Genomic DNA, 22,654 nt, shown 5'->3' with positions numbered 1-22,654 from the left:
TGGGTGATACAGAGAGATTCCGTCTCTAAATAAATAAATAAATAAAGTTTATTCCCGGAAGAAAGTAAACTGCATGGTCTCTAGAGGATTCTGGACTCAGCTAGTAAGAGAGATCTGTACTTCAAGCAGGGGATTAAGCAAACATTTACAGCTGTAGTGTGAAACCCCAGCCTTCTTCATTCACTGAGCTCCCAGGGCTTCGTAACTCCAGGTGATCAGTGAAAGAGTGTATTTTGGAGAATCTGACTAGCTAAAAAACAAACAAACAAACAAACAACAAACAAAAACCTAAGATACTGATAACAATGAATGGCTCAGCCAGATCACCCTGCAATGAAGTTCATAGTCAAAAAGTTCTCCCCATGTGCTCAGACTTTTCAATCAGCTTTTTAGTGCCCCTACTCAGATAACCAAGTCATCAGACATCTGACCAAAGTCTCTAACATGAAAGGCAGAGATAAAAATAAATGGAAAAACCTACTTGGAGAAAACTATTTTATGCAGGGAAAAGAGAACTTTTAAAAATACGGCAAAAACCCTATCATTATTATTTCTTAGCGAGATCTTAAAAATATGCATCAGGCTGAGCACGGAAGGCCGAGGTGGGTGGATCATTTGAGGTCAGGAGTTCGAGACCAGCCTGGCCAACATGGTGAAACCCTGCCTCTGCTAAAAATACAAAAATTAGCTAGGCACGTTGGCAGGCGCCTGTAGTCCCAGCTACATGGGAGGCCAAGGCAGGAGAAGCTCTTGAACCCAGGAGGCGGAGGTTGCAATGAGCAGAGATCACACCACCGCACTCCAGCCTGGGCGACAGAGCAAGACTCTGTCTCAAAAAAACAAACAAACAAACAAAAACAAACATGCATTTCTGAAACAAGAACACAATACTATCAAAAACAGACATAATACTTACATGGATATTTTTCCCCCTTTCTGAGACAGAGTCTTGCTATGTTGCCCAGACTGGAGTGCAGTGGTTATTCATAGGCATAATCCCACTACTGATCAACTGATCAGCATGGGAGTTTTGACCTGCTCCATTTCTTTTTTTAGTTTGGGATATGACCTTTATTGAGCTTATGCACCAGAGTGGAAATAATGCCTGTACAAAACCAAATGTTTGTTACTATAACTTCTGCATCACTGTTAAAATCCAGTTTTTAAAAAACTCAATCAAAACCCACTACTTTGGAATCAATAGCTTCTTTGAAGCCATAGTAACAATTAAATATGGTTAAGACTAGAATGCAGAAATTGGTCAGTTGGAAAGCTAATTAAACTTCCAACTTGCTCAGACACAATTACAAAAAGACAAAATTGGGCTGGGGGTGGTGGCTTACGCCTGTAATCCCAGCACTTTGGGAGGCCGAGGCAGGCAGATCACCTGAGGTCAGGAGTTCGAGGCCAGCCTGACCAACATGATGAAACCCGTCTCTACTAAAAATACAAAAGTTAGCCGGGCATGGTGGCAGGCACCTGTAAACCCAGATACTTAGGAGGCTGAGCCAGGAGAATAGCTTGAACCCAGGAGGCGGTTGCAGTGAGCTGAGATCATGCCATTGCACTCCAGCCTGGGCAACAAGAGCAAAACTCTGTCTAAAAAAAAAAGAAAGAAAAAGATGAAATTATGTTTTTCACAGAGATACAGCCTACTGGAATCACCACGCTGGACAGCTGGTAAGGTACTTAGAGTCTCGAGATAATAAGGAATCCAGGCAGCCTTTAGACAGCCTTCTGTTGTCCTTTCTTCCCCATCAGAGATCTGTGAGTGTGTGGAATGACACCACCATCAGCAACTGTAGCCTCGATGACAGAATCCAATTCTTCATCTCCACAAACAGCAAGTTGCAAGTGACGAAGGGTAATACGCTTTACCTTGAAGTCTTTTGATGCCTTTGCTGCCAGTTCAGGTAGCTCTGTGGTGAGTTACTCCAGGATGGCTATGCTATGCACTGCGGCATTTGCACCCACATGCCCATGACTGGTCGTCCTAGATCTCAGGTGTCGATGAATATGTCCCACTGGGAACTGCAGGCCAGCTGTCTGCGAGTGGGAAACCGCCTTTGTCTTGTTTTTTTCCAGAGTCCTTCCCAGCCTTATTGCCAGTCATTTTGAATTCTGCTGAAGCTCAAACAAGCAAGACAGAGAAAGGGCTAATCAAACACCCAGCAAGATCCCACCACCTATTTCTTCAATGCAATGCAATTTAAACTGCCAACCTGCTCCTTTTCTGATCTGGGCCAGTTCACCCCTCCTTGGGCAACCTGGTGGTCCTCTGCTCCTGGGAGGTCATCATATTGATGCCGAACTTAGCACCCGATCGGCATAGCATGCTACAGCCCAGAACTCCTGGGCTCAAGTGATCTTCCTGCCCCAGCGTCCCCAGGAACTGGCACTACAGGTGCAAACCACTATGCCCAGCAAGAACATAATTTATATAGACATTCCATATGCAAATATATAAACCTGAGACAAAAACACAATACTGTTGGGGTTTTGGTTGTTTTTGTTTGTTTTTGAGACAGCGTCTCACTCTGTCACCTAGGCTGGAGTACAGTGGTGCGAATATGGCTCACTGCAGCCTTGACCTCCTGGAATCAAGCAACCCTCCTGCTTCAGCCTCCCATGTAGCTGGGGCTACAGGCACATGCCATCACACTCAGCTAATTTTTTTATTTTTTTGTAGAGATGGGGTCTCACTTTGCTGCCCAGGCTGGTTTTGAACTCCTGATCTCAGTCCTCTACCTCAGCCTCCCAAAGTGCTGGGATTACAGGTATGAGCCACCATGCCTGGCCACTATTGTTTTTTTTTGTTTAGGGGAACATTCAAAGGACAAAAAAGGAGCTCTTTAAACTTAAAAATATAATGTGAGAAATCAAAAACTCAGTAGAAGGATTGGAATATAAAATTGAGGAAATCTTACAAAAACATAGTCACAGAAAATAGGAGAGAATAGATAAGAAAATTAGAGGCCTAATACAGGAATTCCACTTCCTGAATAATAGGAATTCCATTAAAAAAATAAACAAAAATAAACAAAAAACAACAGAGAAAAAGGAATGGAGGAAATGATTAAAAAAACACCTGGGCTGGGCACAGTGGCTCACACCTGTAATTCCAGCAGTTTGGGAGGCCAAGGCGGGTGGATCACAAGGTCAGGAGTTTGAGACCAGCCTGGCCAACATAGTGAAACTTCATCTGTACTAAAAATACAAAAAATTATCCGGGTGTGGTGACAGGCACCTGTAATCCCAGCTACTCAGGAGGCTGAGGCAGGAGAATCGCTTGAACCTGGGAGGCGGAGGTTGCAGTAAGCCGAGATTGCACCACTGCACTCCAGCCTGGGCGACAGAGCAAGACTCTGTCTCAATAAAATAAAATAAAATAAAATACCCAAAGAAAATTTTCAAAAACGGAGACATATATTTCCAGTTTAAAAGGGCCCAAGATTTCTTGGCCCAATGGATGAAAAGAGACCAACATCAAGACAAATCATTATAATTCAGAACACTGAAGACAAAGAGAAGATCCTGCAAGTTTCCAAAGGGAAAGGGGAGGAGGTCAGGCATTAGAGTGCCTTGAATGTCTCAATAGATGCACTGGAAGTTAGAAGATAAGCAATGCTTTCAAACTTCCAAAGGAAAATCATCTCCAACATAATTCTTTTTTTTTTTTTATTTTTGAGACAAAGTCTCACTCTGTTGCCCAGGCTGGAGTGTAGTGGCGCGATCTCAGCTCACTGCAACCTCCATCTTCTGACTTCAAGCAATTCTCCTGCCTCAGTCTCCCATGTAGCTGGGATTATAGGTATGAGCCACCAGACCTGGCTAATTTTTTGTATTTTTAGTAGAGACAGGGTTTCACCAAGTCTCAAACTCCTGACCTTAAGTGATCCACCCACCTCGTACTCCCAAAGGGCTGGGATTACAGGTGTGAGCCATGGAACCCAGCCATTCAACTTAAAATTTTATACCCAACCAAACTATCTTTTTTTTTTTTTTTTTTTTTTTTTTTTGAGATGGAGTCTTGCTCTGTCGCCCAGGTTGGAGTGCAGTGGCGCAATCTCGGCTCACTGCAAGCTCTGCCCACCTGGTTCACGCCATTCTCCTGCCTCAGCCTCCCGAGTAGCTGGGACTACAGAACCAAACTATCAATCAAGGTTGAAGATAGAAAAAGACATTTGAGTCATTTAAGGTTCAGAAAAAAATGTTTATATACTCAGGAGGCTCCTGGATGATAAGGTAGTAAACCAAGAAAAAGACAAGGGGAAACAGGAATCTGACATGTGATAGATAAAGAGAATCCCCCAGGATGTTGGTAAAAAGAGATTGCAAGATGACGACAATGCAACAGTCCTATAGGACAACCAGCCTAGACCAGATAAGGTCAGAAATGTCTAGGAGAGATTTCTTCTTTTCTTTTTTTTGAGATGCAGTTTTGCTCTTGTCACCCATGCTGGAGTGTAATGGTGCGATCTCGGCTCACTGCAAACTCTGCCTCCCCGATTCAAGCACTTCTCCTGCCTCAGCCTCCCGAGTAGCTGGGATTACAGGCACCTGCCACCACGCCCAGATAATTTTTTGTGTTTTTAGTAGAGATGGGGTTTTACCATGCTGGCCAGGCTGGTCTCAAACTCCTGACCTCAGGCGATCCACCCATGTTGTCCTCCCAAAGTGCTGGGATTACAGGCATGAGCCACCGTGCCCAGCCATGTCTAAGAGAGATTTCTTCAAGAAAATAAAATTGGTAGAATATCATCTGAAAGTATTAAGGGAAGATTATAACAACTGAAAGAGCTTGGCATTAAACACATAGGAAACTAAGTAAATGAATTGGGGTGGGGGCGGAGATAATTATTAGCTCCAGGGAAAATAAAAAATTGTGCATAGTCCATCACATGGTAATAGTCTTTACATAGTGGTATTAATGTAAAAACTGGCTATTGCTCTAACCAAATTATTGTATGACTGTAGTGGAAAGATGGAGGCCAGGAAGGGTGCATGGGTTGTTCAAGTATGGAAGACAATAAATAGTGCCTAAAACTGAAAAATCATGACGTAGTAATAAAATAATATTATTGAGGGAAATGGAGACAAATGCCAAAAGAATGAGCTATAAAAATTGAAGATGGCCAGGAATGCTGGCTCACACCTGTAATCCCAGCACTTTGGGAGGCCGAGGCGGGCAGATCACTTGAGGTCAGGAGTTCAAGACCAGCCTGGCCAACATGGAGAAACCCCATCTCTACTAAAAATACAAAAATTAGCCAGGTATGGTGGCATACGCCTGTAGTCCCAGCTACTCGGGAGGCTGAGGCAGGAGGAGAATCTCTTGAATCCGGGAGGTGGAGGTCGCAGTGAGCCGAGATCACGTCGCTGCACTCCAGCCTGGGCAATGGAGCGACACTCTGTCTCAAAAAAAAAAAAAAAAGAAAAAAGGTGAAGATGATTATCTCTGCTAAGGGGAAGGGAGAGGGCTCTTTTTCATAAATCTTGCACCATCCCTTGACTTTTTAAACTATATAAATGAATAACTTAAATAAAAATTAAAACTTTGACCCAATTTCTATCTCCGAAAGTACAAGCTGAGGCAGGCAAACACACAAAGCAATGTACAGACAAAGCATCCGAAACCTGAAAAGGAAAGTTAAGTTGTACACAGGGAAGAACAGCATACATGTAGGTAAGAGGAACAGCAGGACTTCTGGAAATAGGCTGAAGATATTAATGATATGTCCTTAGACTCATCCAGGAAACCATCATATTTAACATGACCTGGAACTTGACCTTCCAGGATGCAGTCTGTTCTCCCAGGGATGGGAGGTGGGAGCTTCCCTAGGGAAAGTAATGTGGGATGGAAGTTTCTAAAAGCCAAAGCAGCCATCACTCTCCCCTCACTTCCTGTTCCTCTTCATCCATCCTCTGCTCCATCCTCCACCAGCCCCTCAGGACCCAAGCTTAGAGATATTGACCTGTGCTCATGTTTGCGAAGATCAAACTGACTGAGGGGATTAGGATGCGCTTAAGAGCCAGCAGACAAATCTGGCTTTACTTTTACCCCTGCATCCTCTCTCCCCAGCCATGTTTGTGGTATCTGGGCAGACAGCTCAGCCAACCCACCTGCACAGCTTCCCCAGACATTCCACACCCAGACAGTGGTGCCAGGAGTAAAGCAGCAGAGAAAGGGAAGGTATTAGGGGAGAATTAAGGTGAGGAAGTGACTCAGCCCCGCATAAGCCTGCAGGCATCCGGAGGAGTTCTCAGGAGGCAGTGGCGGCTGGGCCGAATTTCAAGCTGGCCTGTGAGTGAGGCTGAAATGTGACTCGCTCTGCCCCGCCAGGCACTGAGTGTGGTGGGGGGAGGGCTGGCTAGGGCTGGCTGTGCTCCTGTCCCCAGCTCGGACTCCCAGAACATCCCTGGTGGGCTGGTTGGGTTTGGAATCACTGGATTTTGCACGGCAATGGGTTTCTTTCTTCTGCGTTTGTTTGCCTTGCATAGGGTGGAACCAGGTAGAGAGGTGACTAGTAGAGAACATGCTGCCTTTCAGTCAGACAATTCAAATTCAGGCTCTTGACCTTGGACAAGATACTAGCCTCTCAGAGATTGTTTATTCATGGAGCAAACCCTGGAAAACAAAATTACCTTGACTGTTCGTCAAATGCGTTCACTGTGTAACCACCTCTAATATGCCAGGGTCTGGGTTCAGTTTAGAAATAATGTTTAAAAGTAAGCCATCTCACTCCATTAAGATGGCTACTATCTGGCTGGGCGCGGTGGCTCATGCCTGTAATCCCAGCACTTTGGGAAGCCAAGGCGGGAGGATCGCTTGAGCTCAGGAGTTCAAGACCAGCCTGGGCGACACAGCTAAACCCCGCCTCTACAAAAAAGACATTTAAAATTAGGCAGGCGTGGTGCCATGCACCTGTAGTCCCAGCTACTTTGGGGTGCTGAGGCAGGAGGGTTGCTTGAATCGGGAGGTAGAGGCTGTAGTGAGCCAAGATTGTGCCACTGCATTCCAGCCTGCGGGACAAAATGAGGCCCTGTCTCAAAAAAAAAAAAAAAAAAAAAAAGATGGTTACAATGAAAAATTTAAGAATATATTTAAAAATAGACTGGGCACAGTGGCTCACATCTGTAATCTCAGCACTGTGGGAGACCAAACCGGGTGGGTCATTTGAGGCCAGGAGTTGGAGACCAGCCTGGACAACATAGCCAGAACCTGTCTCTACATAAAATTAAAAAATTAGCCAGGCATGGTCACACATGCCTATAGTCCCAGCTACTGGGGAGGCTGAGATAGTAAGATCCTTGAGCCCAGGAGTTCAATCCTGCAGTAAGCTATGATCATGCCACTGTACTGCACTCCAGCCTGGGCAACAGAGCAAGACTCTGTCTCTATAAGTAAATAAATACATATTTTAAACATAAATAAAAACCAGAAAATAACCAGCCTTAGCAAGGATATGGAGAAACTGAAATTTTTTTTTTTTTTTTTTTTTTTTTTGAGACAGAGTCTCGCTTTGTCACCCAGGCTGGAGTGCAGTGGCACGATCTCGGCTCCCTGCAAGCTCCGCCTCCCAGGTTCATGCCATTCTCCTGCCTCAGCCTCCCGAGTAGCTGGGACTACAGGCGCCCGCCACCACGCCCAGCTAATTTTTTTGTATTTTTAGTAGAGACGGGGTTTCACTGTGTTAGCCAGGATGGTCTCGATCTCCTGACCTCATGATCTGCCCACCTCGGCCTCCCAAAGTGCTGGGATTACAGGCGTGAGCCACTGTGCCAGGCCGAGAAACTGAAATTTTTGTGCACTCTGGGTGGAAATGTACAATCATGCATCTGCTATGGAAAAGAGTGTGGCAGTCCCTCAGAAAATTAAGCATAGACCAGGCATGGTGGCTGACACCTATAGTCTCAGCACTGTGGGAGGCCAAAGCAAGAGGATCACTTGAGGTAAGGAGTTCAAGACCAGCTTGGGCAACACAGAGAGGTCCCCATCTCTGCAAAAAAAATTTTTAATTAGCTGGGCATGGTGGTGTGCACCTGTGGTGCCAGCTACTTGGGAAACTGAGGCAGGAGGATCACTTGAGCCAGGTGGAGGCTGCAGTGAGCTGTGATCACACCACTGCACTCCAGCCTGGATAACAGAGCGAGACCCTATCTCAAAAAAAAAAAAAAAAAAATTCAACATAGGCTGAATGTGGTGGCTCATGCCTGTAATCTCAGCGCTTTGGGAGGCAGACGTAGAAGGATACCTTGAGCCCAGGAGTTCAAGGTTGCAGTGAACTATGATCACATGACTGCACTCCAGCCTGGATGACAGAGTGAGACCTTGTCTCGTAAATAAATAAAACATAGAATTACCATATGATCCAGGCCGGGCACAGTGGCTCACACCTGTAATCCCAGCACTTTGGGAGGCCGAGGCTGGTGGATCACCTGAGGTCAGGAGTTCAAGACCAGCCTGGCCAACATGGTGAAAATACAAAAATTAGCCAAGTAAAGTGGCAAGTGCCTGTAGTCCCAGCTATTCAGGAGGCTGATGCAGGAGAATTGCTTGAACCCAGAAGGAGGAGGTTGCAGTGAACCGAGATGGCACCACTTCACTCCACCCTGGGCGACAGAGTAAGACTCCATCTCAAAAAAAAAAAAATTGCCATATGATCCAGCAGAGTATTTGCCTAAAATAACTAATTATACTCACCATTTGGGCACCACAGTTTCCTAGATGAACAGAGAGTATATCTTGTAATATTTAAAGACATGGCATTGACAGGCAAGGTGGCTCATGCCTGTAATCCTGGCACTTTGGGAGGCTGAGGTGGTCGGATCACCTGAGGTCAGGAGTTTGAGACCAGCCTGGCCAACCTGGTGAAACCCTGTCTCTACCAAAAATACAAAATTATCGGGGCATGGTGACACATGCCTGTAATTCCAGCTACTTGGGAGGCTGAAGCAGGAGAATTGCTTGAACTGGGAAGCAGAGGTTGCAATGAGCGGAGAACGCGCCATTACACTCCAGCCTGGGCAACAAGAGCAAAACTGTCTCAAAAAATAAAATAACATAAAATAAAATAAATAAAGACATGGCATTGCTAAATACCTACTTTACTCTCCATTTCGACTTCTGAGATATGTATCTGTAAGTGTGTGTGGTGAGGGCATTAGGCAGACCTACCCAGAAGTGCTTTCCTGAGCAAGGATATCCATAGCAGAGATTGTTCATTGTCCTGCAAAATCCATTCTCCCTCCTTCCTTAATCATGAAACTCCCGGATTTTAGCTGGGCACACAGCCACCAAGAACAAGGACTACATTTCCCAGTATCACTTGCAGATCTTTCTTTCTGTGAGATTAAGCTCTGGCCACTGGAATATATGCAGTGCCTGTGTGACTTTCTGAAAGTGTATTCAAAGGAAAGAGACAAAAATTTCTTTTTGTCTTTCCTCCTTCTTGTTGGCTAGGATATAGACGTGATGGCTGGAGCTCAAGCAGCTCAAGCCATTTGCAGAGACAGTGGAACAAGAGCAAAGGAACCTACCTCGTGGAGCACTGTATCAGTCTGGATAGCTGACTTCAGACTTTCATTTATGTGGGAGAGAAATGTATTTCTGTTTTGTTTAATCTGCTGTTATTTGGGGATTTCTGTTACTCACAGAAAAAAATAATTTTTTATTTTGGGTTTTTTTGTGTTTGTTTTTGTTTTTTTGAGACAGAGTCTTGCTCTGTCGCCCAGGCTGAAGTGCAGTGGCATGACCTTGGCTTACTGCAATCTTTGCCTCCTAGGTTCAAGTGATTCTCCTGCCTTAGTCTCCCTAGTAGCTGGGATTACAGGCGCCCGCCACCACGCCTGGCTAATTTTTGTATTTTTGTAGAGACAGGATTTTGCAATGTTGGTCAGGCTTGTCTCAAACTCCTGACCTTAATTGATCTGCCCACCTCAGCCTCCTAAAGTGCAGGATTACAGGCATGAGCCACTGCACCCAGCCAGAAAAAAATAATTTAACTGACTGTCACAGTAGCCAATGAACCTTGGGCTTACTCCCATCGGGGGTCTCTATACACCATTTTTCTTCTCCTCTTTTTTTTTTTATTGAGATAGGGACTCAGTCTGTTGCCCAGGCTGGCATACAGGGGTATGATAATAGCTCACTACAGCCTCTAATTCCTGGACTCAAGTGATCCTCCTTCCTTAGCCTCCCTCCCAAAGTGCTAGTGTGTGAGCCACCATACCTGACCTTTTCTTTTTTTTTTTTTGATATGGAGTCTCACTGTGTCACCCAGGCTGGAGTGCAGTGGCGTGATCTCAGCTCACTGTAAGCTCCGCCTCCTGGGTTCACGCCATTCTCCTGCCTCAGCCTCCCAAGTAGCTGAGACTACAGGCACACACCACCACACTCAGCTTATTTTTCTGTAGTTTTAGTAGAGACAGGGTTTCATCATGTTAGCCAGGATGGTCTCCATCTCCTGACCTTGTGATCCGCCCACCTTGGCCTCCCAAAGTGCTGGGATTACAGGCATGAGCTACCACACTCGGCCACACCTAACCATTTTTATCCTCCCCTTTCCCCAAACGCTTACCCTGATGAAACTAAGAGAGTTCAATTGGTATTACCTGTTAGGAGAGACTACCCTAGTGCTACTGAGTAAGTTGAACTGCAAATGAGACAGTCTAGAAGCAGATGCATTTCAGAAAACAGTTAGGCACTAGCTGGGAAAGTTGAAAATCACATACCCCATGACCCAGCACTTCCTCTTAAATATATTAAATAGATGTGTGCATTAGGAGTCACATACAGCAGCATTGCTAGTAATTGCCAAAGACTGGACACAATCCAAATGACCATCCACAGGAGAATGGCTAAGTAAGTTGTGGTATGTTTACACAATAGAATCGGCCATGCAGCAGTGAGAATGTATACCTACCACCACAAGCATCGACACAGGCAAAAGTCCAAAAAATATTGCACAAGGAAAGCAAGCCACAGAAGAAAACGTGTGGTCATAAATTCAAAACAAGGCAACGTCTTGTCTTGTGACATAGACATTCACAGTCAAACAATAAAGAAAAGTAAGAAAATGGCCAGAGGCAGTGGTAATGCCTGTAATCCCAACACTTTGGGAGGCCAAGGCAGGCAGATCACTTGAGGTCAGGAGTTCGAGACCAGAGGCAGTCTGGCCAACATGGTGAAAGTCCATCTCTACAAAAAATACAAAAATTAGCTGGGCGTGGTGGCAGGTGCCTATAATCCCAGATACTTGGGAGGCTGAGGCAGGAGGATCGTTTGAACCCAGGAGGTAGAGGTTGCAGTGAGCCGAGATTGCGCCACTGCACTCCAGCCTGGGCAACAGAGCGAGACTCTGTCTCAAAAAAAAAAAAAAAAAAAAATTAAGAAAAGTAAGAAAATGAGCCAGGCACGGTGGCTCGCGCCTGTAATCCCAGCACTTTGGGAGGCCAAGGTGGGTGGATCACTTGAGGCAGGGAGTTCAAGACCAGCCTGGCCAACATGGTGAAACCCCATCTCTACTAAACATACAAAATTAGCCAAGTGTGGTGGCGCATGCCTGTAATCCCAGCTACTTGGGAAGTTGAGGCAGGAGAATCCCTTGAACCCGGGAGGCAGAGGTTGCGGTGAGCCAAGATCATGGCATTGCACTCCAGCCTGGGTGACCGAGCGAAAGACTCTGTCTCAAAAAAAAAAAAAAAAAGAAGGAGAAAAAAAAAAGAAAAGTAAGAAAATGATTCCCCTCAGAATCAGATTAGAAGTTAGATGAGGGCAAGAGGCGGGGAATGATGATGTCATGGAGGGGGCCAGGAAAGGCTTCTGAGGTTCTGGCAAGGTTCTATTTCTTATCCTGGGGGCCAGCACATGGGGGTGACTATATGGGTGTTTGCTTTGGAACTGTTCTTGAAACTATACACATACATTTTCTGCTCTCTGGTGCCTGTAAGAGAGATGGAGGGAGGAAGAGTGAAGGCACTGTTTTGACAGTGGAGGGGGAGAGAATGAATGCCTTTTTCCCTCTTCCTTCCCTGTCAGCATTCATGACTCATTCCACCACTATTTAGCACTTACTCCATTCTGCTTGAATTACTGTTAGCTGTTAACACGTCTGTCTCCCTCTGTCATTAATTTATTCATTCAGCTGACAATTACTAAAAGTCCCCAAGGTGTCTGCAGGAGAAAGGGGCGACTGAAGAGAGTTAACCAATAAAAGGAAACAAACCTGGCCTCTTTCCTCCAGCAGCTCAGTCTTAGGGTGGGGGACGGGAGAGACAGATTTCTCTGGAGCTCTGTGGCAATTTGGCCCTATGCCCTCAGGGCCTGGGCTCTAACAGAGGTGGAAGCACGGGATCCACCTGAGAACCGGGACTCGTTTCCTGCTGCCCTGTATCCTTCACTACCTGGCGCAACCATGGAGACAGCTGCTGTGTGTTAGGGCCTGGGTAAGTCAGTGTGAGTCTCTGCAAGCTTCAAATGCAAGTTTAAATTGAAAGCCTCGTTGACTATCCCGGGGAAGGGATTTCAGAGAGTCCTGGTTCACTGTCCTGATAAAATTCACCCAGCATGCTAGTTAAAAATTCAGGTTTTGCCGGGAGCGGTGGCTGACGCCTATAATCCCAGCACCTTGGGAGGCCAAGGTGGGTGGATCACCTGACATCAGGAGTTCAAGACCAGCCTGGCCAACATGGTGAAACCCTGTCTCTACTAAAAACACAAAAATTATGGCCGGGCGCAGTGGCTCATGCCTGTAATCCCAGCACTTTGGGAGGCCGAGGCAAGCAGATCACGAGGTCAGGAGTTCCAGACCAGCCTGGCCAACATGGCAAAACCCCATCTCTATTAAAAATATAAAAATTAGCCAGTGTGGTGGCATGCACCTGTAATCCCAGCTACTCGGGAGGCCAAGGCAGTAGAATTGCTTAAACCTGGGAGACAGAGGTTGCAGTGAGCCGAGTTTGCACCACTGTACTCCAGCCTGGGCAACATAGCAAGACTCCATCTCAAAAAACTAAAAATAAATTTTAAAAATACAAAAATTAGCTGGGTGTGGTGACAGCCGCCTGTAATCTCAGCTACTCAGGAGGCTGAGGCAGGAGAATTGCTTGAACCTGGGGTAGGGTGGGGTGGGGCGGAGGCTGCAGTGAGCCGAGATCTCGCCATTGCACTCCAGCCTGGGTGACAAGAGCAAAACTCTGTCTCAAAAAAAAAAAAAAAAAATTAGGTTTGGCCTGGTGTAGTGGCTCACACCTGTAATCCCAGCATTTTGGGAGGCCGAGGCAAGAGGATCACTTGAGCCCACAGGTTTGAGACCAGCCTGGAAAACAAAGCAAGATCCCGCCTCTACAAACATTTTTTAAAAATTAGCCCCATGTGGTGATGCGTGCCTGTAGTCCTAGCTACTCAGGAGGGTAAAGTGGGAGGATTCCTTGAGCCCAGGCATTTGAGGCTGCAGTGAGCTATTACTGCACCACTGCACTCCAGCCTGAGTGACAGAGCGAGACCTTGTCTCAAAAAAAAAAAAAAAAAAAAAGTTTCTCAGGCTCTTTTCCTAGGTTGAAGCCCAGGAATCTGGATGTAAAACTAGCTCTTCCAGTGTTACGTGTGTTGTCTGGTGATACGTGTGTCCTGCTCTTTTCTGAGTGTAAACTATATTTCACCATCTGGGAAGCCCTGAAGTGAGTGGGTTGGGGGTTAGCAGAGTGGCCTCCTCAACCCCGGGAAAGTGCTAGGTCTGAGGCGGAGAAGGCCTTATTCATATCTCTCGGTATCTCTCTTAGGGGTCAGTGAATGTTTGTGGAAGCCAAATGAACTAAGAATAAATGAGAAAGAACCCAACATTTCTCTGAAATATAAATGAATCCTGCTCCCAACTTTGGAACACGCAAAATACTGTTCTATTAGTATTTGATTTTTTTGATATTGTTTAGAGAGAGGACCTGGCTGTGTCACCTAGGCTGGAGTGCAGTGGCGCAATCACAGCACACTGCAGCCTCGAACTCCTGGGCTCAAGTGATCCTTGCGCCTCAGCCTCTCCGTAGGATTACAGGTGTGTGCCGCCATGCCTAGCTAATTTTATTTTATTTTATTTTATTGTAGAGATGGGGTCTCACTATGTTGCCCAGCCTTGTCTCCAACTCCTGGCTTCAAGTGATCCTCCTGCCTTAGCCTCCCAAAGTGCTGGGATTATAAACATGAGCAACTACGCTTGACCATGTCCTATTCATACTTGTGTTCATTTGAAAACATTCTGAAGTGGTACCATAAGGTGTTTGAGAGCTCATCTCTGGATGTGGGTTTTAATCCCTGTTCTTCGACTTGCTATTTGTGTGACTTTGGGCACATCATCTGATGGCTCCATGACTCAGTTTCCCCATTTGTTAAATGGACATGCTAATAATGGTACATATATGTATCAGAGGGCTGTTCTGAGGACTGAAAGGGTCTATATATGAAAAGTAGTTAATATCGTGTATTATGGCACACTACTACTAGAATGGTGAGTACTGTGATTTGTGATCCCCTTTGCTTTTGTCTTGCAGTGAGAAGGTGGAGCCAGGCTTGGGTGGAAACAACCCCAGGAAGGGAAAAGGGACTCTCCTAGAGCCAGCCAGCCTCCCTGAATAAAAGAGGTTCAGAAAACCTGGGTGGGGCTCACGCTCCCTGAAACCAAGGAAGAAAAACCTCCCTATGGAGGGCAGAGCTCCGTATGCAGGCCACAACTGGCCTTTCCTGGTTGGGAAGCTTCTGTGGCCTGGTAACTCACTCCTGTGTGCATTTTTCCTCCTTTAGCCTCCTCAGTTTCACCATAGATTGAAGCCCCACCCTGCAGAGTTGCTGAAAAGGCTCATGTGCTTGCTTTCCTGGGCAGTCAGGAGGGAGGAAACCAGAGAGCAAGACTGGGTCATTAAAAACCTCTGGAGGAGAGGACCTCGGGTAAGTCAGCATTTTCCTGCTTGGATTCAGGGTCCTCCCCTGAAAAAATGAAGGAACTGGGCATGTAGATGTGCCCAGTTATGCTCAGAACAAGAGGGAGGTGGGTTATGTGGCAGCTGAACTGAGATCAGAGGTGACCCAGGGAGTGGGGATGTATCGGGGACTCCCCTGCAATTCAAGGCATTTTCCTCCCAAAAGATTTGTGTCCAAAATTATGGTCCCATTTCACAGATAAGAAAATCAAGTCATAAAACAATTAAGCAACTAGGAGGTATAGAAATAAACGAAGCCCACATGAAAATGAGCAAAGCCTATTGATTCAGAGCTTGCTATAGCAAGGGAGTCAGCTACCATCACTTGCCTTTGTCAGAGGCCTCAAAGGTGGGCAGGGAAGTGGAGAAGCTTTGTGGTGGGAAAAGGGGAGGCTTTGGGTGTGCCCTGATTGGAGGCTGTTGACATCAGGAAGCTGTAGGTGGGCCTATTAGAAGCGGGACATCCTATGTGACTGGTTAGGGGAGCACATCTGGCTTCCTCCAATTGGTCCTAAGTTGCACACTGGGGCAAAAATTAGGATGTTGTTGGTCAAGTTCTGGGCATTTTGTCAGTTGTTGGTCAAGTTCTGGCCATTTTGGGCTGATTGCCGCAGAGACTGTTTGGCTTCCTGGACTTGGTTGCCAATGGTGGGTCAGCTTTCTGAATTGGTTGCTACAGGTTGTGGGTTGGAGTTCTATTTTTAAATATAGTCTGGCCATTGCCCATTTGTATGTTCAGTCTCAGAGGTCTTCATGGCCCTGCACCCAAGCAGCTATCTCTGCGGTGGCCTGCTGCTGCTGCAACACCTCATGTGACCGTGTTTGCTTAAACGAGGCCTCCCATGGAGGAGCTTTTCCTCCAAGGAACTCCTCCAGTAAAGCTGCATAGAGCTGGATGGCTCCCAGCTGGAAAGTGAAGGCCAGTGTTCCATCTGGCAGCTGTTTCTCCAGCTGCTGCTTCTACACAAAGGAGGTTTGCTTAAAGGGGTCAGCCTTGCCCCCACCTGTGGGGAGTTGTTTTAAGGTGGTTGATTTCATCACTTTCCAGCTTCATGATCCTGAGCAGGCTGACTTGCTTCTCTGAGCCTCAGTGTGGAATGGTGGTACCGCAATGGCTACATGGAGAAAAGGAGGAACAATAGAGGTGTGGGTGAAAGGGACTCTGAATGCCGTGGAAGGGTTGGTGCCCAGGGGGGTTTCTGTTTTACCCACACCAGAATTCCCAAGCTACACCCGTCTCTTCTAGCCAGCTGTTTCTGGCTTCGGGGCATTCTCATCACCTCCAAGAGTCTGATTGGGCCCATGGGCCCCCTTTCCATCTGGTTTCCACATGTCTGCACCCACCGGCAGGGCAGGCAGGGCCACTGTTGATTTCTGGCTTATTCCCCAGGAACTGGCTTTCCTTCCTTGGAAGGCAGGGGCAGTTTTTTGTTTGTTTGTTTGTTTTGTTTTGTTTTGAGACGGAGTTTCACTCTTGTTGCCCAGGCTGGAGTGCAATGGCAAGATCTCAGCTCACTGCAACCTCTGCCTCCCGGGTTCAAGTGATTCTCCTGTCTCAGCCTCCCGAGTAGCTGGGATTACAGGCATGCGCCACCACACCCGGCTAATTTTGTATTTTTAGTAGAGACGGTTTCACCATGTTGGTCAGGCTGGTCTGGAACTTCTGACCTCAGGAGATCCGCCCACCTTCCAAAGTGCTGGGATTACAGGCGTGAGCCACTGCACCGGGCCTGATAGGGGCAGTTTTGATGCATGTGCAAAAGCTCTTCTGGGACTTCTCAGCCACTCCTGAGATTTTCTTCCCCTGCAAGATGGGAACCACACACAACTAGAAAGGCTGGGAGGGGTAGAAATGCACAGCTTCAGATCCCTCATCTGTATGATGGAGCTGCTCATGATGCTTACTTTCTATGGGTGTGGTGAAGAGTAACTGGGGCCTGTGGGCAAAGCACTCAGTACAGTGCCTGGAACATACTTAGTGCTCAGGAAAGGGGGACTGCTTCAATTTGCTTTGTGGCTGGGGTTATATTTACCCTAGAGATACTGGTCCTCTCAGACCTGAGTCCCTGGTCTAGACTGAAAAATGGAAGTGTTCTTATGGAGAGTTCCTGAGGACAATTACAAATACCCAAAACAAGTAATCTCCTCTCCCTTCCTAATTCATTCTTTCAACAAGTAGGTGAGGTTTTTGTTTGTTTTTATTTTTTGAGACAGGGTCTTGCTCTGTCACCCAGGCTGGAGTACAGTGGCACAATCATAGCTCACTGCAGCCTTGACCTCCTGGGCTCAAGTGATTCTCCGATCTCAGCCTCCCAAGTAGCTGGGACCATGCCCGGCAAAATTTCATTTTACTTTTTGTAGAGACAGGGTCTCCCTATGTTGCCCAGGCTGGTCTCAAACTCCTGGGATCAAGTGATCATCCTTCCTTGGCCCCCCAAAGTGTTGCGATTACAGGCATGAGCCACCATGCCCTGCCTCAACAAATAGTTTTGAGCCCCTATTGTGCATCAAGCTAGATACTGGGGATATAGAGGTGAACCGAACAGGTGTTCTGTGGAGCTTAGAGTCTAGTAGAAAGCAGTCAGCAAACACAGAGTCACATAAAAGTAGTATAAAATATGGCCAGGCGCGGTGGCTCACGCCTGTAATCCCAGCACTTCGGGAGGCTGAGGTGGGCAGATCACCTGAGGTCAGGAGTTTGAGACCAGCCTGGCCAACATGGTGAAACCTCATCTCTACTAAAAAAAAAAAAAAAAAAAAAAATTAGCTGAGTGCACCTGTAATCCCAGCTACTCAGGAGGCTGAGGCAGGAGAATCACCTGACCCAGGAGGTGGAGGTTGCAGTGAGCCAAGATCATGCCATTGCACTCCAGCCTGGGCAACAAGAGCGAAACTCTGTCTCAAAAAAAAAAAAAAAAAAAAGTATAAAATGTGATGAATGCCAGGAAGGAAAATGACTGCTCATAGAATCCAATTTTGGTCATTTGTGGGGTAGGTGGGAACAAGGTGGGGATATGCAAAAATAACCTTTAAACTGAGACCTAAAGAACAGAAAGATGAGAGCTCCCCTTGGCACACTTTCCCTTGCCTTGGTTTTTTCAATTCTCAGGTATTTCTGAAGCATCTACTCCAGGCCTTCCTCTGTCATAGGCACTGTGAGGGATATGAGAAAAATAACAGCACAGGGTCCCTGTCCCTAGCATGTCTGGGAGGCAAAGACATCCCAGGCCAAACTTACAAATGATGCAAGGCAATAGATAATGGCAAAAGAGGAAGAGGCAATTCAAAGCATAGCACATCAGGACTTCTGGGAGGGAAAGGCAAGGTCAGTAGGAGTTTCCTGGCCCTAGAGAATGAGAGGAGTTTGGACAGGCAAAGAGGAGGCAGAAGTGGGCCCTGGGGGAGAAGGGGCACATTGTATTGGTGGAGGACAGAGAGGGTCAGTAGCTGGAGCATTGGGCCAAGCAATAGGAGATGAGTTAGAAGACAGCCAAGCTCTGGATGCCCTGCAGGCAATGGGGAGCTAGTGAATATTCTTGAGGAATTGAGGGAGTGGTATGTTGTTCTGAAGAGGTGACTCTCACAATGCATGAGGCATTGTGCATTGGAAAACTAGGCTGACCAGGAGATAATCTGCTTGGCTCACTGGGGTTCACCGAGAAGGCTGTTCAGGCCTCAGGTTAAAGTGTCAATCCTTTGGGAGAAGTAACCAGGATGATGTTATCACAGTGTCAGATCCTTTCCAGCTGTGACTTCAAACTGGTTCCTGTAAAAGAGACACATTGTAGGAATGTTTTAACAGGAAGAAGGGATGACAGCTGAGGAGCTAGGGCATAGGCCTCGCAGGGTTGCTGCAAAGAATTGAGGTGATAAACTTGAATTCCCACTCCAGTTTTGACAATAATTGACGTGTGGTTTTGGGCAAGCAACTTCTTAGCTCTTCATTTGCAAAGTGAGGTTAGGTAGCCTTAGGGCTTAGCCAAGAACTTGGCACACAGTAAGCACTTAATAAATAGTATTTTTATTTATTTCATCGTTAATAATTCATTAGTCCTTTCTAAGGATTAATCTGAGGTTCTCAAAGGCTTTGAATCTCTCATCTCAGAATCTTGCCTTGTCCTTGGTATCTGGGCAAGATTCATGACTAGGTCTGGGCCTCTCTCAGATTCCTTTTTTTTTTTTTTTTTTTTTGTTTTGTTTTGAGACGGAGTCTCGCTCTGTTGCCAGGCTAGAGTGCTGTGGCGTGATCTCGGCTCACTGCAACCTCCAACTTCCTGGTTCAAGGGATTCTCCTGCCTCTGCCTCCCGAGTAGCTGTGATTACAGGCATGCACCACCACGCCCAGCTAACTTTCGTATTTTTAGTAGAGATGGAATTTCACTATGTTGGCTGGGATGGTCTCGATCTCCTGACCTCGTGATCCACCTGCCTTGGCCTCCCAAAGTGCTGGGATTACAGGCATGAGCCACCATGCCCAGCCAGATTCTCTGTTTTAAAATCCTGGGATATTTGCCTCTGGGCCATTCCTGAACTAACAACAAAAGCAGTCTGGAAGAAAAATGTCTTCATGATTTGAGAAGCTACCAAGAGCCAAGTTGAAGGTAATTTTTAACAAACAGGCATAATTCATTTCATAGATATAGCATTCCTAAAAAGGTGTGTGCAATATGGCATTTTCCTAAATAGAATTCCATTTTCAGCATCCTGGGGGAGTTCATTCTTTTAAGAAACTCTGGAAGGAAATCCTTTTAAATGTTGCATCTCGGATGTTGGGCCACGTGCAATTTCCCATGTGGGACAGGAAACCTGTCCTAGAAACAACTGCTCCTCTGCTCACACACATCCACGTGTTCAGACTCACACGTGTGCAGTTTGCACTCACAGACACCCACAGGCACCTGGAAATGGTTCCTCTCCTGCTCACAGTGCCCTCACACTCTTGTCAATGTGAGTGCATGGACACTTATGTGTGCACACGCATGCGCTAACATGCACAGACACATGTACACATGCTCTTGTTGGCAGCCTTGTGTACTTCCAAAGGAGCTGCACACTCAGAGCAGACCGCCAGGATCTGTTTCTCCAGGGAGCAGCTGTAGCTTATCCATTAAAACATAAAATCCAAGGCCAGAGTGGGGCCTCTGCTCACTTAGCCTGCAGAGAAAGCCCTGTATCCAGTATCTTTATTTGAAAATGTTCCCTCCAATCACTAGTGGAATAATGGATTCTGCCACAGATAACTTCTCCAAAAGCAAAGCCTGGTGGAAGGGTAGGTTTCCATTCTTCCTATCACAGGGTGTTTTTGAGTGCCTAGGGCAGTGTCCTAGGCAATATCTAGGCAGGTAGGTACAGAGGGTACAATAATGAACAAGTCGATGTCTCTTCTGCTCCCACAGAGCTCATAGCTCATTGGGGATTGTTGGTCTCCTAATGCCATAACAAAAACCCACCAACTTAGAGCCTTAGAACAGCACCCATTTAAGGCTGGGCACGGTGGCTCCTGCCTGTAATCCCAGCACTTTGGGACGCCGAGGCGGGCGGATCACGAGGTCAGGAGATTGAGACCATGTGGCTAACATAGTGAAGCCCTATCTCTACTAAAAATACAAAAAGTTAGCCAGGTGTGGTGGCGGGCGCCTGTAGTCCCAGCTATTGGGAAGGCTGAGGCAGGAGAATGGCATGAGCCAGGGAGGCGGAGCTTGCAGTGAGCCAAGATCGTGCCACTGCACTCCAGCCTAGGCGACAGAGCAAGACTCTGTCTCAAAAAAAAAAAAAAACAAAAAAACAAAAAAAAAGAACAGCACCCATTTAGTATTTCTCAGCTCTGTAGATGACAGGTCCAGGTCAGCTTGGCAGGTTTCTCTGCTCAGGCTTTTATAAGGCTGATATCAAGGTGGTAGCCGCTGGGATCTTCTCCAGGGCTCTGGGAAGAATCCACTTCCAAGGTCATTCAGTTGTTGCCAGAATCCAGTTCCTTGTGATTGTAAGAGTGAGGTTCCTGGCTCCTTGCTGGCTGTCAGCTGGGGACCACTCTTAGCTCCTTGCATGTGGGCCCCTCCATCTCAGAGCCAATAGTGACCAGTCAAATCCTTCTCATGCTTGGAATCTCTCTGACTTCCCTTTCTACTGCCTCCAGGTGGAGGAAATTCTCTGCTTTTAAGAGCTCACATTATCAGATTAGATTGTGCCTGCCTGGATACTCAAGGATACTCTCCCTATTTTACTTTATGTATTTATTTTTTCCTTTTCTTTTTTTTTTTTTTTTTGAGATGGAGTTTCACTCTTATTGCCCAGGATGGAGAACAATGGCGTGATCTTGGCTCACTGCAACCTCTGCCTCCCAGGTTCAAGCAATTCTCCTGCCTCAGCCTCCCAAGTAGCTGGGATTACATGCATGCACCACCATACTCGGATAATTTTGTATTTTTAGTGGAGACGGGGGTTTCTCCATGTTGGTCAGGCTGGTCTCAAATTCCTGACCTCGGGTGATCCACCCACCTCGGCCTCCCAAAATGCTGGAATTACAGGTGTGAGCCACCGTGCCCAGCCTACTTGCCCTTTTTTATTTTATTTTTATTTTTATTTTTTTGGAGACAGAGTCTCACTCTGTCACCCAGGCTGGAGTGCAGTGGTGCGATCTCAGCTCACTGCAACCTCTGCTTCCCGGGTTCAAGCAATTCTCCTGCCTCAGCCTCCCAAGTAGCTGGGATTACAGGTGTGAGCCACCGTGCCCGGCCTACTCTCCGTATTTTAAAGTACAGAACTTTAATCACATTTGTGAAGTCCCTGTAGCCATATAACAAAACATCTTCACAGGTTCCAGGGACTGGAGCATGGTTGTCTTTTGGGAGCTTGGAAGGGGAGCTATTCTGTTTATCACAGGAATATAGAAAAGAAACGCAATTTTTTTTTTTAAGGCAGAGTCTTACTCTGTTACCCGGGCTGGAGTGCAGTGGCACGATCTCTCCTCACTGCAACCTCTGCCTCTCAGGTTCAAGCGATTCTCCTGCCTCAGCCTCCCGAGTAGCTGGGATTATGCTGATAAGCCGGGCACCGTGGCTCACCCCTGTAATCTTAGCACTTTGGGAGGCTGAGTGGGGTGGATCACCTGAGGGCAGGAGTTTGAGACTAGCCTGGCCAACATGGTGAAACCCCATCTGTACTAAAAATACAAAAATTAGCCGAGCGTGGTGGCGGGCATCTGTAATCCCAGGTACTTGGAAGGCTGAGGCAGGATGCAGGAGAATTGCTTGAACCCAGGAGGCGGAGGTTGCAGTGAGCTGAGATCACGCCATTGCACTCCAGCCTGGGGAACAAGAGCGAGACTCTATCTCAAAAAAAACAAAAAACAAAAAACAAAAACAAAAACCCAAACAAAAACAAAAACAAACAAAAAATACACACTGATAAACCTTAATAAAGGGAGTAAAAAGTTGCAATGAGAGCATGTAGCAGAGACACCAAACCCTTTTCAAGGAGATTGGTAAGGCAAGTATGGCTTCCTAAAGGTTAACATCTAAGCTGAAGTGTGAAGAATGGGCTCAGAGTCAAAGAGTTAATGCTCCCAGACAGCACTGTGCTTGCAGAAAGCTTGAGGGGACTGTGCCCTCAGGGCTATATTTGCCTTGGTGCCATCAGTTTAGGTCTGAATTTCTGAGCAGGGGCATCTTTTTTCTTTTTTATT

At 46.6% G+C, this 22,654-nt stretch overlaps 1 protein-coding gene and 1 pseudogene across 1 annotated transcript in view, besides 7 other annotated features; one reads left to right on the top strand and one right to left on the bottom strand.

The window, feature by feature from the left end:
• On the bottom strand, nt 1,726–2,113 carry H2AZP5 (H2A.Z histone pseudogene 5; annotated as a pseudogene).
• Nucleotides 5,778–6,315: an enhancer, noted in NCBI's record as "H3K27ac-H3K4me1 hESC enhancer chr10:79709051-79709588 (GRCh37/hg19 assembly coordinates)". NCBI's record gives its function as "activates a minimal SCP1, AML or CMV promoter by ChIP-STARR-seq in naive H9 embryonic stem cells {active_cell/tissue: H9 hESC(naive)}" and the evidence as "EXISTENCE:reporter gene assay evidence [ECO:0000049][PMID:30033119]".
• Nucleotides 5,778–6,853: a biological region, named in NCBI's record as "H3K27ac-H3K4me1 hESC enhancers GRCh37_chr10:79708513-79709050 and GRCh37_chr10:79709051-79709588".
• Nucleotides 6,143–6,437: a silencer, noted in NCBI's record as "tiled region #8439; K562 Repressive non-DNase unmatched - State 8:EnhW". NCBI's record gives its function as "represses a minimal TATA promoter and a strong SV40 promoter by Sharpr-MPRA in K562 cells {active_cell/tissue: K562}" and the evidence as "EXISTENCE:reporter gene assay evidence [ECO:0000049][PMID:27701403]".
• Nucleotides 6,316–6,853: an enhancer, noted in NCBI's record as "H3K27ac-H3K4me1 hESC enhancer chr10:79708513-79709050 (GRCh37/hg19 assembly coordinates)". NCBI's record gives its function as "activates a minimal SCP1, AML or CMV promoter by ChIP-STARR-seq in naive and primed H9 embryonic stem cells {active_cell/tissue: H9 hESC(naive and primed)}" and the evidence as "EXISTENCE:reporter gene assay evidence [ECO:0000049][PMID:30033119]".
• Nucleotides 6,854–7,391: an enhancer, noted in NCBI's record as "H3K27ac-H3K4me1 hESC enhancer chr10:79707975-79708512 (GRCh37/hg19 assembly coordinates)". NCBI's record gives its function as "activates a minimal SCP1, AML or CMV promoter by ChIP-STARR-seq in naive and primed H9 embryonic stem cells {active_cell/tissue: H9 hESC(naive and primed)}" and the evidence as "EXISTENCE:reporter gene assay evidence [ECO:0000049][PMID:30033119]".
• Nucleotides 8,163–8,457: a silencer, noted in NCBI's record as "tiled region #2866; K562 Repressive non-DNase unmatched - State 7:EnhWF". NCBI's record gives its function as "represses a minimal TATA promoter and a strong SV40 promoter by Sharpr-MPRA in K562 cells {active_cell/tissue: K562}" and the evidence as "EXISTENCE:reporter gene assay evidence [ECO:0000049][PMID:27701403]".
• Nucleotides 8,163–8,457: an enhancer, noted in NCBI's record as "tiled region #2866; HepG2 Activating DNase matched - State 7:EnhWF". NCBI's record gives its function as "activates a minimal TATA promoter and a strong SV40 promoter by Sharpr-MPRA in HepG2 cells {active_cell/tissue: HepG2}" and the evidence as "EXISTENCE:reporter gene assay evidence [ECO:0000049][PMID:27701403]".
• The window catches only part of DLG5 (discs large MAGUK scaffold protein 5), a 149,946-nt gene continuing 142,163 nt past the window's right edge, over nt 14,872–22,654 (top strand). The window contains exon 1 of the mRNA XM_047425998.1: nt 14,872–14,938. The gene's annotated coding sequence lies outside the window, so the exon portion shown is untranslated. The remainder of the gene's footprint in view (nt 14,939–22,654) is intronic.

Source organism: Homo sapiens, chromosome 10 (genome assembly GCF_000001405.40).
Source record: "Homo sapiens chromosome 10, GRCh38.p14 Primary Assembly".
Taxonomy (NCBI): domain Eukaryota; kingdom Metazoa; phylum Chordata; class Mammalia; order Primates; family Hominidae; genus Homo; species Homo sapiens.
Note: the sequence above shows the minus strand (reverse complement) of the source record. Positions and strands in the feature narration are given on the sequence as shown.